Genomic DNA, 14425 nt, shown 5'->3' with positions numbered 1-14425 from the left:
AGGTATCAGACCTGTTGTAAATGTATTACATTATTAGAAGAATCATGTACTAGAAGAGGAAATCTAGCAAAGAGTTCATTGTTTCCATAAAAATATTTATTTTGGAAAGTTTTTCCCCTTTCCACAAATATATCATTTTTAACAATTGTTTTTGATAAACTGATAAGGATACATTTTTAACAAGCATCTATTCCAAGAAATGGTAGTTTTATGTTGACAATATATTTTTAATCAAGAAATGCCAAAATGTATAAAATGGAAGTGGGCATAACTTTTGATGACTCTAACATGTTAAAATGCTTTTTAATATATTCATAACAGCATGTGTCATACATACCGTTATCACCATTACTATCCCGCCTCAAAAAAAATTAATCCATATTTTGTGTTTCAAAATCCATTACACCTCCACAAGCAAAACTTACCATTTTTATCAGATAAATTATCTTCTGAACTGTAGGAAAACCAGAAAATAAGCCACTCCAAAATCACTTGGCTCTTTTGTCAAACTATATTATTTCAGCCTGTAAATATTTGCAAAGGGTCAAGAAGTCACTCAGGTTATGCTTATCTTTGGTGCCACAAATAGCAGTCTCTTAAACAATATTAGTCAATAGTTACATTCATTATTGCCAAATAAAAGGTTTCTAAACCAAGAAGCTCTGATGAAAGATTAACAATCTGTTTCAATATTCATGTTAGCATATATGTTACTGTTTTTTTTCTACCCTCAATAGCTCACATTTATCGTATCCATGGATAGATGCACACATTCCATCTCAGAAGCACCTGGGAAGTTCCCCCCAGCAGCTTTCTATCTAGATGCCTATCAAAAACTTTGTTACAATAAGAGAGTGGAGAGGTCAGGCTGCAGAGAGCCACAATAGCCCCTTTCCCTTTTCAGGTAGGTTAGCCCCCTGGGAACCTTTGATCTGATTATCAGCAAACACACACTCCCATATTTTGTACTCTCAGATATAGATTTCAGAAAAGTGGGGGAGAGCATTACCCACAAAAACAAAATGACTCTTTGCCAAACAGTCCATATACCTACACAAGGAAAGGTGACCCCTTCCTCCATCTGTCACTCCTCCACTGATTCACCACTCACTCTCCCTTTGGAGAAGGAAGCAAACTGCAATTAAAGCAACAATACTGGAATACAGGCACACAAAGCTGTTCTGCCTTGAGAACCGAGTACACTCATGTCCAAAAATAAGTAAGATCTGGACCTGGGGTGAAAGTCTGTGCTCCTTTCAGATTCTTTATATTCCAGATAAACCACCTACAAAACGTTTGATTGGAGCAATCAGACAGGAATAAAAAGCACATGCATTACTAGGAGGCCTTCTTCCTAAGTGGTCAAAAGAAACAGCTAACCAATTTTGCCTAGAGAATGGTCTGAAAATCCAACTAATCCAACTATAAAGTAAGAAAAATAGTAACAAAGACAAGGGCCAGAAGTATGTTACCAGCCCCAAATAAAAGTAATGCAGAAGCTAAAGATAATTTTTTAAAATGTCTAAGGATAGATAGTAAGGAAGCAAGGTACAGTATGCCAATGAAATGAAACTAACAGACTACAGCAGGGCACACTTAGCACCCAATAAACCTGCAGTCTGTGAGTGAAGCCTCTCCTTTCTAATCAACTCTTTCCCTTCCTTTCCCACCCTGAGGGTTAACTAAATTATTTAAAATGTCCTGAATGTATGAAGCATGACACACAGTAGTCAGTATCTGATGACCTGCCAGGGAAGATCCTGATTTGTGTTTATAGTCCTGGTATAATTGTCCCTAATGCCCCCTTTCAGTCTCAAAAGTGTCCTGCTTTGGACAATACATTATACTGACACTTTATTCATAATATGCATGCTTATGTATGATGAGTGAATGAATCAATGAGCAATTATCTTAAATTCCAAATCTCTGTTCCTATGTATGTCTGTAAAGGTATTCTCTGACTAGGTATATCTTGGTCTTTCTTAACTTGGAATAAATCAACTTACAAAAAAGAAAAAGAACAAAAATAATCACAAACTAATAACATTGCATTATAATAAAGTAAAAATTCCTAAATTCCATAACATGTAATCCTGCTGAATGCTCCAAAAGAGAATGGCCAACTCTATTCCTCCTCTCTTGGCCACACACAGTTGAGGAAGCTGGTCAAGTGAAGCTCAGAACAGAAAAGGATGAAAAATTGAGAAAAATCAGGACCTTGAACGAGCAACCACACTCTCTATAGGTAAACACAGAGTATCTAGGGCCAATCCTTGATAAGTTATAACACGGAATGAATAGAATGCCTCAAATATCATTTTTTCTTCTAGTGGGCAAAGACAATAAGTAAGAAAATAAATCTCAAAATATTTATAAAACAACTATGATGTCAAGTCACATTTGATGAGGATAATAAAAAATATTTTCTAAGTTTGTATAAAGCAGAATACATTTTAAAAACCTTAAGAGTTAGATATCTTTGTACATTTTAACATTAAAATTCATTTCTAATATTAGATGCCTTAAGGACGAAAGAATCCAAAATAAATTTCCAATTAAATAAAACTATGACAATCCTTTTAATCGCTCCCCAAAATAAACATACTATGAAATCCCTTATCATCACCCATAGCCACCATTATCTAACCATGTCCCAGCAACATCAACAAAGTAAATGTTTATAAGCAATTCTCTCAGAAGTTAAACATTAAATTAAAAAATTAAAACACCACTAAGAACCTTGTGATGACCTGAAGGCATTTTAAGAGCAGCAAGGGTTAGAAGGGCAGCTCTCAAGTAACACCCATTGTTCTACCTCTGCTTAATGACAAAAGGAGAAAAGAAAGCGATTACCTGGCCTTACCTCTACATCTCAATTCAAATGCTACTTAAGAAAACAAAAAATCTCATTTTTTTTTTGCAACCCAACACTTCAGCTTAGTCAAGCTCCAATTTTTTTTTTTAATCTAAACTTCTCCAACTTTGTTCATGCACTGAAATTCAGGACAGCCAAATTCAACAGCAGGTTTCAAATTAGTTTGGTATCAACCACATACTGCATTTCAGTGAAGATCCAACAATTAAATAGAGAAACCATTAAATATTTCCAGTTTCAGATCTACAAAAAGTTATTGTGGATATTAGCTCAAAAATACTTTTTATAATGTTTTCCCACTTTTTAAAAAGTATATCTACTGACCCTACAATCCATACAGGAGAGCAAAACACCAAGAATAACCAAGACAATTTTGAAAAACACAATTGGGAACTCACTCTATCAGATATCAAGACATACAGCAATGTTCTCCAGTGTAATGGAACAGGGATAGTGGAACAAATACAAATAGACCAATGACAAGAAAAGAGACATACACAAGTATACATAAAACTGATACATGATAGAGATGGCATTTTAAAAGTGCAAGGAAAGGATGGGCTACTTAACAAAAGGTGCCTGGATACTTAGTTATCCACTTGGTAGAGTAAAACAGCTTTCTATCTCATAACAACAACAATACATTTTAGGTAAGTTAAAGACTCAACAAAATTTTATGAAGCTTTTAGAAGAATATATGGGTAACTATATCTATAACTTTTAGATGAGAATTTCTTAAAAGACAAAACGATAAACTCTACAAGATGAATACATTTCATTGTATTAAAAACATTCTGCATTTTTAAGACACCATAAACAACGCAAGGCTAAACCAAAGATTTAGGAAAATATTTTTACAGCAAACATACCAGTAAGGAATTAGAATCCACACTAGACACAGAATAATAAATTATTAATGAAAACAAATCTCCCCAAATAAAAAATGAGCAAAGGATAAGAACAAGCAATTCACAGCAGAGGAAAACCAGGTGTCCAACAGTGAAAAGATGCTCAATTTCACTAGGTCAGGAAAACATAATTTAAAAATGAGTCACCATCTTAGATCCAGCTGAAGTGGAAAAGTATTTGAATGTCAGACCTTATCAAAGTGTTGGTGACAATATACTTGCAAAAGGAACACTCACATGAAGCTATAATAGTATCGGTGTAAATTAATGCAACCACTCTGAAAATCAATTTAGTGATATTTATCAAAGTTGATAATATTCATATCCTGTGACCCCACAATTCCATTTCTATGTGGTATCCTAGAAAGACAATTATACCTGTGTACAGGGAGATATGTATGAGAAGTTCACAACAGCCTCATTTGAAATAGTGAACATTATAAAATAGATAAATTAATAATGGCATGTCCATTAACTTCTACAGTACTGATAATGGAATGAAACAAAGCAACATATATCAGTATGAATATATCTCAGAAAAACATAATGCTTAGTTAAAAAGAACACGTGTATGATGATACTATTTATGTCAGCTTTCTTTAATAAGACAAACATTACTATACATACAAATATAAAAGTCTGTACATACATGGAAATTACATACATGGAAAACATACATGGAAATAACCTTGGTGAGGGAGGGAGGGAGGGAAAAGAGATGGAAAGAGTATATAGGAGGCTTTAACATTTAAAAATGTACGTATTTTAATTTTTTATTTTATTTTTTAAAGATGGAGTCTCACTGTGTTGCCCAGGCTGGAGTGAAGTGGCTATCCAAAGGCACTATCATAGCTCACAGCAGCCTTGAACCTCTGGCTTCAAGCGATCCTCCTACCTCAGCCTCTGCCTCAGCCTTGAGAGTAGCTGGGACTACAGGTGTGCACCACTGCCCCTGGCTTGTATATATTTTTTAAAGATGAGTTAAAGATAGCTTTGAAATGTCTTGGAGATAGGTACACAGAAATAAGTATATTGGAGATAGGTGTTGGTTTATAATATTCTCTATAGTTTTTTGGTATAGTTGAAATACATAGATAATGCCAGGCGCGGTGGCTCACGCCTGTAATCCCAGCACTTTGGGAGGCCAAGGCGGGCAGATCACGAGCTCAGGAGATCGAGACCATCCTGGCTAACACGGTGAAACCTCATCTCTATTAAAAATATAAAAAATTAGCCAGGCGTGGTGGCAGGCGCCTGTAGTCCCAGCTACTTGGGAGGCTGAGGAGAATGGCGTGAACCCAGGAGGCGGAGCTTGCAGTGAGCCGAGATGGCGCCACTGCACTCCAGCCTGGGCGACAGAGCAAGACTCCGTCTCAAAAAAAAAGAAACACATAGATAAAGGAAGGTCACATACTTTGCCCTTTAAAAATAACTTAAAATACTCTGAAATTCTTGGATTTAAGTTGGATATTTTTGCAAATATCATTTAATCTCAATAACTTATATTTAACCCATAAAGAAATTGAGGCCCTGCACGCCAAAGGTTACATGAGCTTGTTGGTAAACACTAGGTCTAAGTTTATTTCTACTGCAGTCATGGTCCTGAGCCAGTGCAAGGAGGGCATGGAATTGGAAGGTAGCTTAGGTACACCTGAGCCCATCACGATGACACTTGAGTCTGAGAGGACTTAGTGTAAGGCAAGTAACACAGCAGTGGCAACACACATAATCAAAGTCCACAGGAGGAGTGCCCCTGGCTGAACAACAACAACAAAAAAAGCAAAAAACATGTCACTTTTGTATACAAATTTTGTTCTAATTGGTCACAATGTGTTTTCTAATTTTTTTTTTTTGTAGACATGGGGGTCTTGCTATATTGCCCAGGCTGGTCTCAAACTCCTGGCCTCAAGTGATCCTCCCACCTTGCCTCCCAAAGTGCTGGAATTACAAGTGTGAGCCACTGCTGCCCAACCCCCTGTTTTCTAAATTTTATGAAAAAACATATTTGGGCTGGGCGTGGTGGCTCATGCCTGTATTACCAGCACTTTGGGAAGCCAAGACAAAAGGATCACTTGAGCCCAGGAGTTTGAGACCAACCTGGGCAACATAGTGAGCTCCCATCTCTATAAAAATTAAACAAAATTAGCTGGGTATGGTGGCACATGCCTGTGGTCCCAGCTACTTGGGAGGCTGAGGTGGGAGGATTGCTTGAGCCTAGGAGGTTGAGGCTGCAATAAACCGAGATTATGCCATTGAACTCCAACCTGAGTGACAGAGTGAGATCTTGTCTCAAAAGAAAAAAAAAAAAAAAAATATATATATATATATATATATATATATATATATATATATATATGTATTAACTTTTAAAAATCCCAATGCAAAACAATAGCCAGGTTGATTATAGTAACCCAGTAAGGGAAGATGGATATTACCAGCCTGGCAGAGGCAGAACTATAAATGGTAAAAATAGTTTTCTTTTGATGAAAGTTGACTAACAGTCCTTGGGCAGACAAAGAAAAGATGTGAAATGAACAAATGAAATACTGGGAATTCATGTCATTTTATTTTAAATTAGGTGGACTAGCTTCCCGAAGTCTGACTGAAGAAAAAACTTTTTGAAACTGGTAATCCTAGGAGAAGCAAAAATCTAAATAAAGTAAAATTAACTGTCATGTGTATAGAAAGAAACCAAGTATATTCATTTGACTTATGGGTTTATTTACAGTATAAACTTCCTATCAAGCAAAACGTTGCACCTTATATATTAATTTATGTTAGAGACAGAAATGTCAAATGTAAAATGTTCTAAAAAGTTTTTTCAAGTATGTCTTATATTTAAAGTATTCCCTTTTTTTTAGGAGATGGGGTCTCGCTATGTTGTCCAGGCTGGCTTTGAACTCCTAGGCTCAAACAATCCTCCTGCTTCAGCCTCCCAAGTAGCTGGGACTACAGACACGTGCCACTTCTCACAGCTTAAAGTATCCTTTCAATTAAGAAATTGAAAAAACGTTAATATTTTGCCACAAGCTTTCAGCTCGATGGACCCAGAACACAATATACAGATATTTCAAATGTGAAATGCTGTGAAAGGCAGCAATGTTTATCTATAAGAGCAAACTTAAAAAAACCACAACCAGAAGTAAATTAAATTTGTAATAAAAATACTTAAAATTCATTTATTCAAACTCCCTGCACTTTGTTTAACATAAAATAGAAACCAACTAAACATACACAGTTTTCTAATAGAATATTTCTAAACTCAACCAGTTTACTTTTTAATTCTGCTTGAGCATACAGTATTAAGGTACATTTTTGAAGGGCAAGAAACCATCATATTTAAAACTTCACTATTGAACAATAAAATACTACTGAAATAGAAAGTATAGTTCCTTTTTTCAGACCATAATCTAGAAGCTCTCATCCAAATGCCCATTACAAAGTCCATAGATCTCTTCTTTTGTTTTCCAGCATTTTCTGCTACTTTGTAATGCCTCCGATGATTTTATAATTTCCAATGGGTAAAGAAATGTTTCAAAATCCCTTTTACAAATATGGAGAATACGAGCTTTATGAGGGTAACCCCTCCAACCTACTTCCCTTAAAAAAGGCATATAAGTGAGTTGACAGCAAAACTCAGGGAACCTCTGGTACTAAGGTGTCATCACCGCTAACCCGTTAAGGAGACAAGACTAGGCAGATTCCCAAATGAGACTGAAGCAAATGCAGTTGAGAAATGTCATTAATGTTAATGAAGAACAAACAAACAATTTTTTTAAAGAAAGGACTAAAATTCTACTATTAACGAAGCAAATATCCTAGTATTTAAAAAGAGAGAACGAACTGAGAAAAATGATTTTTTTAACAATTATAATCCTGGCCCAGACTTTCAGGCCTTCCATGACACACGAAGAAGCTCTAGAACAATTGAGACAGCTAGGAAAAACTACTTAGCACAATATAAAAAAAAATCATTCAACAGAGATTCTATTAAAAGGTAGAAAAGAAAAGAAAGCCTTATGAAACTGCTATGAAAAGAAGTTGCAGCCCCATCCCAGTGTCTTAGGCTTATTGGTAAGGCCCATTCATTTGGACGGCTGAGTTACTGGTCTTCCACTTTTTACCCCTGTCCTTACAGTATGTGCTCAATACACATTTGTCATTTAAATTATATTGGCCATCTAGAATTTTTTTACTGCTCAGAATTCCAGCAGCCTGTCAGTGTGTAGTCCAGGGCAGATAAGTGAAAGAATCCTAGTCATTAAAGAAGCTGAAAAATAAGTAGTAGCTTTTGCAAGTCCAGCCTTTGTTTTCTTATTTATTTCAATGTGGCAAACCAAAATCGTGGTGATGTGCCTCCACGCCAGGAGACAGTCAATTTGGCGGAAATCACATTTAATTTGTGTCAGAAACATAGGATTCTACTAGCCCTCTGTCAAAAGATGTAACATCAGCCCTATCTACCCTTCACCCTCAAATAGATATAGAATCCCAAGAAGACAGACCTCACTTTGTAATGTTCTCTCTTGGCACTTTAAAAAAACTTTTATTTAAAATAGCCATAAAGATCCACTAAAGGATGACAGGTTATTTGCACAGAGGCTGCAGCTTGTTCAAAACCAAATAGATTTCAAAATATGGCATATATTAAAATGCAGTCCAAACTATAAGATGTTTTGGCAGCAGAGGAGTTGAATGCTATAGAAAACGTATTAACTTCCCCCTCTTTCCAATGTGTAGGAAACAGGTAACTTACAATGACAAATCTTCAAATCTTCAACACACCATATAGAGTTTAGAAGTCATGATGCCATGCCAAGAATTAAGAACTGGATATATTAGAGCATCCCACTCAATATTTTGTCTTAACATTGTATATTCAATTTAAAAATGATTAATTGTTAATTAATTTTTACTACACCAAGCAGAACCAGTGGCTACCACATTTATCTGACAATTATAGATAATTTGATCTTTGTGCTTATATTTCAGGGTACTGGAAGTTTGACAACACCGATTCAGATTAAATTATACATATTTGAAAGCTATATTTAGATGAAGAGTTGCTTAAGCATATTCTTTATAAGACTTAGTTTATGAGAAAAGTTATGTGATCTGATCAGGAATATGTTATATTTTAAGGATTTCACCTCATCTGGCTGACTTTTAAAAATCAGGAAATATTTTTAAAGTAGAATTTCTAAGATCAGAAAGAAATCAAGTTTGAAAAAAGAGGTTTTGGAGTGAGAGAGAAGGGTCATATCCTACTTAAGGCTTTTCCAACACAGAGCAAGGAAATGGTGCCACTATAAGATCTGGAACAAATGTTTTCCTACATTTTTGAACCACAGTGTTTAAAAGCATCGTATTTTAATTTCAGGCCTTACAAACTAAAGATTGTCCCCGAAAATTAGTTACACTTATTATTTTGGATCAGAGTTTGTGGCTGACAACATCTGTTAGAAACTTCATTGTGCCTCCTAATTAAAGAACCAAGTCTAGCTGACTGATTAAAAAAAAAAAACTTTCATTCAAAGGACAATGTAATACTGTGAAAATAACTAAATAATTTTCCTCCATAAATATTCTCCCTGGGAGAAAGAGGCTTTCAGTGGGAGCATAAGTTCTCAATCGTCTGTGTAATGTATCTAGTGTACATTTTATTATTTTTCCCATTTACTGTGTCTTTTCTATTACGTTACAGCTGAAGGTTTTACTTAACCAATTCTCTTCTGAAACGCTCTTCCTCTATCCTACACTATGGTAGCTTCAGCAATGACTGCCAAGTAAAACACCTTTTCCTTTTGTTTCCTCCCTTCCGCTTTGAAATTTTGTTATCCGTTTCTGTAGACATCAGTATATTTAAAACTTTAAAAAACACTTTTCCTAGAAGGTTCTGTTAAAAGGTAGAAAAGAAAAGAAAAAAAGCCTTATGAGAACGTCCCCCAGAGTGCCCAGAGGGCTGCACGAACATGCCCAGCCTAGTTATGAAAGATCATTGATCCCAAAGGGAACGTGACAACGCCGGGTAGGTGCCCTGAGCTGGCACCTGCCCCGACCCTCTTCCGTGCAAGCCTAACCTATGCACTTGTCACGAACCGAAGACCTAAAAGAAGGCAAGGGAATGGGGAGGAGGATGAGGCTGGCCAAAAGCTCGCATTGTCACTCCGGAGCTTTTGCGCTTGACTCATCTCTCTGGCTTTCAAAACCGGGAAGTGCGCGGCTGCGACGGCGTCGGGCAGCGTGCTCGGCGGAGAAAACGCGCGCTCTAATCCTCTCGACCAGAGGCTTTCCTCTGTCTCCGCCAAAAAACTCAAGCCCTCCGCAAGCCGGGAGGCTCCCGCGACAAGCGCGCCGTCCCCGGACCCGGTCGGACCGCGTGGCCGGGCTCGCATTCCCGACGCGGCGGGACTGGAGGGCTGACAAACTGTTTTCGGTTTGCACACCCAGCCATCCCCGCCGCGGAATCTGCTCCAAGAAGATGTCGTTAGGAAGTTACGGGCAGGACTGATGCTTTGACCGCAGGAGGATCCGGGCAAAGATTTATCTGGAAGTTTGTCTTGCACAACCCACTTCTGGAGTCCCGCGACACTCCAGACAAAAGGACGGGCTCTAAACCTATCTCGAGAGTCCTCTGGACCTGCTGTTAGGACCCTAGTTCTCCTCACCTCGTCCAAATGAACTCAGCATTCGGAAACTTCTCGTCCCCACCTCCATCCCCCACCCCGTTTTTGGTGAGCGACTTTTTAAAAGGGGGCTCGAGCTCGGAGAACAAGAAACGTAATAGAAAAGCTATCCCCGCGCTGTCACGCGTCCCCGCTCGTCTTCCAGCGGAAGCGTCGCTGTAGGGTGGCAGTGGTGTATTTTTTTTTTTTAATTACGCAATTTAGGCGAATGCAGTCCAATCCAGAGCCGCTAGCTGTGTACGCGCTGAGCTTGGTAGAGTTCACCGTGGAATTTGCTTTTCCAACAACGACCCCGGGGGAGAGCCCGGGCCTCTTTAGGCGGCGTCTTACCTCGCCCCTCGCCTCCCGGCGTCTTCGGCGACCGCTCAGTAGATGCGGCGTCCCCAGCGCGGCACCCGAGCCCAGCCCAGCAGCGCGGGCTCTTCGCCTCCCTCTCCACCGTCCCCGCGCTTTTTAAAACTTTGGGCGCAGCTTTTGAGTGACTGTCCAGGAATCAGTGCTCCTGCCCCACTTCAACTAGCGTACAAATAAATACCTTACCCCCGTTCACGTTTCATAAATTAGGAAAAGACATCCAGCTTACATTCCCCCAAATTAGCTGTATCCGACTCTGCAATTCATTTACCCTTCCAAGTTGGTGACACGAAATTCTATTCTCCAAACAAACCGTAATGATCAATCCAACGTCCCTTTCTACTCCGTTTTAAAAGACTGAAGAATTAATGCCAGAGGAGAGCTATCAACACTGCCGGAGATTACAGATTAAGCGATATCAGAGCCCCATACCACCACTCTTTTACTATCCCTCATTCTGGGCGTGATCCCTCTTCACTAAAATCCTAGCCCAAATGTATTTTGTCCCCTACCCTTGATTCTTTGAAAATCTGTTTCCTAAAATAGTAAACGTAACGTTTTAAAGACCTTCTAACGTCACCCTCCTCATTGCAGTCCTAAGCGGCACACCAGCGCAGCTCAGCCCGCTCCTGAAGACTTCGAAGCAGGAAACCCAGCAATCTTCCAAGTGGCACCTTCCCTGCTGGCCTAGATGAACCTAGAAAGCAAGCAACTTCAATGAATGCAAACTAAGCTTTCCCGAGGAGAAACGTCAAAGCAGCTACAATCAGTCTCTGATTACACAAACATACCTAGGGGCAGGTTGGAGTAAGGAGGGCTTTAGGGGTGGGGGTTGCCTACCCAGAGGTGGCTTAAACCAGTTCTCCTATTGTTACTGAGTTTAGGAAAGCTAGCTTTTGTTTCGTGGTGGATTTTGGGGATCAAACCCGAGATGCCAGCTAAACATCCCTGAAGTCTTTGTAAGAGAACCTAACCCAAAGTTAGGACTTCAGTTCCTTTAAATTAAGATACTGAGTTATGCATAATTAACGATTCCAGTAGAGAAACAATGCAGAATTATTTTGAAATATTGTAAAAGGAGGGTCGACATGTGCGTCTATCTGCCCAGTTTTGCGAGAGCTAAATGCCACTCACGGGCCCCCTCTACCAAACCGGGAAGAGTGGCGACAGCGGGACTCCTTAGGTCATGTCTTGGGACCCAAAGGTTTCGGACTCCCTCCAACCATCCTTTTGGAGGAAGGAGGCTTACAGCTCTAACTCCCTCCCCAGCAAACAAACCAGAGAGAACTGAGGCCCTATCTTTCCTGGGCCCATCTGGAGACACACGCCTAGAAAGCAAAGCTCTTTCCCGCCTACCTAGTAGGTAGCGGTTGACGAGTGATTGTGCACAGTGTCCAGGAACTCCCAGGCTAAGGGACGTCCAGCTCTCGAGGTTTACAGGCAAGGGGGACCTGAAGTGGAGGGAGGTGCATTGTTTCCACATGGCGTTTAGGTGGTAACAGCCCAAAATATAGCTTTCATTGAGAGAGAAGAGCTACCCAGGCCCAGCTCTGCGCGCGGCGAGGGCCCGCTGGGATTGGGCGGACGCGCGTCACGTGACCGGGCGCCGTGCCCTGGAGCCCCGCCCCTCCCTGGCGCTCACTCGGCGGTGCTGCAGCAGCCGGGATTAGTCCCACTTTCACTTTCTGCACTGGGGCTTCACACCTGAGTGATATTGTTTTGTTTTCTTTTGTTTTTTGTTTTGTTTGATTTTGAGATGGCCAGTACAAAAAAGAGGCAGTCCAAAGAAAAAGAGCTCCATGCGTTTCTGGAAGGGGGTGATGAGCCGGGGAGGTCGGACGGGGGCTGTTCAGGGTCCGCGCTCCCGGGAGGACGAGGACCCGGAAAGCAGGTGTTTTCCCCATTGCAAGGGCAACACTGAGCTCGCGCGTCCACAAAACGTTCTGCGAAATTGTAAGGGCCTCCAGCATCACAACCAAAAGTAGAAAGTAGTAGGGGCTTCACCCTCCGAGCGCTGACGTGGTGATTTGTTTCTGAAGAAGGACTTGCTCCAGGTAGTTTATTAGGGTAGCGAGAGCGAAGGGCCACCAAAGCTGGCTTGTCATCCAACCTAGGAAACGGCACTCGCTGAAAAAACAAACTCACGATGGCTTCCGTCTCACCTCTAACCTGTGGGGGACTGGACTGGACTCAGTTCAGTACGAGTGCAGGGAGAGGGCTGCGCGCCAGCTCTGGATGAGCCCAGCCAGCGGTCCTATGTCTGTACCTGTCCTTATCGCTTATCACTAACCGCCCTTATCAGTCATTATCGCGGCTGGTCACTGACTAAAACATTCTTCCATAGTCCTAAATAAGTTCACCTATAGAAAGAAACCATTCCAGATCACTAACATGAGCTTGGCCCATTCATTTGTTCTTACATTTATATAACAGTGTTATTTTACATGTTGCACATTTTCCAGTGCCTGACTTACTAGGTTCTGAAGCACAGCAGCAACCTGTGAACCAGTCAGGCTCTTTTGCCTACGGTGACCTTCAAGTGTCCATCTGTAACAAGTCAGGGCAAGTTGCAATAAATAATTGGATCTTTGAAAGGAAAAAAAATGGTTTGTTTTCTCCTCTCTAAAAAGATTTCTCCAACACCTGAAAACTTTTAGCAAGTTGCTCAAACTTTAAGACTTCTGGGATTTTTTGTTTTTTTTTTTTGTTGTTGTTGTTTATTTGTTATTTGTACACTTCAGAGGGTAAGAAGAAACCAGGTAAAGTGTTGACAGTTGCCTAGCACAATGACTGGTACAAAGTAAATGCTCGATAAATTATTATTGTTAAAGTTAAACAAGTTATGCTTCCTCCTGTGTGTAGTTTTAAGTGACAATATAGTATTGTCCATTCTTCCATGCTTTATTTTTATATACAGGTTTGATTAGGGAGAAGGGAAAGCTTATAAAGCAATTTGCTTCAATCTTTGGTCGTGATAGTAACTTCCACTAACTAATTACACATCATTTTGAAAGTATTTCCTCAAATTTGTTTTGAATATATAATATGGCCTTTGAATTTCCTTAACTTCTCCCTTATACTTTTACAAAATGAAAGGGTATGGTCTTATCCCACTAGCTATTTCACAAGCAAACATGGTAACTCTTTTGGGGGAAGAGATTATTATTTTCTCTGGGAAGTTAGCTGAAAATCTACCAAAAAGTGCAGTCCAGAATAAGAATTAATTAAATAACCAAAAAGATCATTTTTGTTTTGCTATCTGGAAAAAAATGACATAGAATAGATATGTAAAATGTTAATTTTAAAATATAGCTGTTTTTTAATTCCTGCTTTTGGAAGCCAATTTGGATGGTTGAAATGAAAGTTGTTTTCCCTTTAAAATTAATATAATTATCACTAGGTCACCTAGAAAGAATATCTCTGGTCTAAACTTCTCTTCTGTGCTCCAAATTCCCTCTTTCACAAATGACAAAGAAACCGCTTGGATATATATGGAGCTAAACTCATCACCTCTCCTACCATTCTCCCTTTGGACATTCTAGATCTTACTTAGTTCAACCTCCCAGTCATCCATACTACAAACCTGGAAGCCATGCTCGAAT

The 14425-nt window shown here is 39.5% G+C and overlaps 1 protein-coding gene across 1 annotated transcript in view, besides 3 other annotated features; it reads right to left on the bottom strand.

The window, feature by feature from the left end:
• The window catches only part of PRDM1 (PR/SET domain 1), a 117249-nt gene extending 104909 nt beyond the window's left edge, over positions 1-12340 (bottom strand). Inside the window, exons 1-2 of the mRNA XM_047419246.1 lie at positions 12180-12340; positions 11391-11520 (exon numbers count right to left, since the gene is read on the bottom strand). The gene's annotated coding sequence lies outside the window, so the exon portion shown is untranslated. The remainder of the gene's footprint in view (positions 1-11390; positions 11521-12179) is intronic.
• Positions 9648-10180: an enhancer, noted in NCBI's record as "H3K27ac hESC enhancer chr6:106442725-106443257 (GRCh37/hg19 assembly coordinates)". NCBI's record gives its function as "activates a minimal SCP1, AML or CMV promoter by ChIP-STARR-seq in naive H9 embryonic stem cells {active_cell/tissue: H9 hESC(naive)}" and the evidence as "EXISTENCE:reporter gene assay evidence [ECO:0000049][PMID:30033119]".
• Positions 11250-11784: an enhancer, noted in NCBI's record as "NANOG-H3K27ac-H3K4me1 hESC enhancer chr6:106441121-106441655 (GRCh37/hg19 assembly coordinates)". NCBI's record gives its function as "activates a minimal SCP1, AML or CMV promoter by ChIP-STARR-seq in primed H9 embryonic stem cells {active_cell/tissue: H9 hESC(primed)}" and the evidence as "EXISTENCE:reporter gene assay evidence [ECO:0000049][PMID:30033119]".
• Positions 12315-12524: a silencer, noted in NCBI's record as "silent region_17429". NCBI's record gives its function as "represses an Ori minimal core promoter by ATAC-STARR-seq in GM12878 lymphoblastoid cells {active_cell/tissue: GM12878}" and the evidence as "EXISTENCE:reporter gene assay evidence [ECO:0000049][PMID:35858748]".

Source organism: Homo sapiens, chromosome 6 (genome assembly GCF_000001405.40).
Source record: "Homo sapiens chromosome 6, GRCh38.p14 Primary Assembly".
NCBI lineage: Eukaryota > Metazoa > Chordata > Mammalia > Primates > Hominidae > Homo > Homo sapiens.
This window is presented reverse-complemented; position numbering and strand designations above follow the sequence as displayed.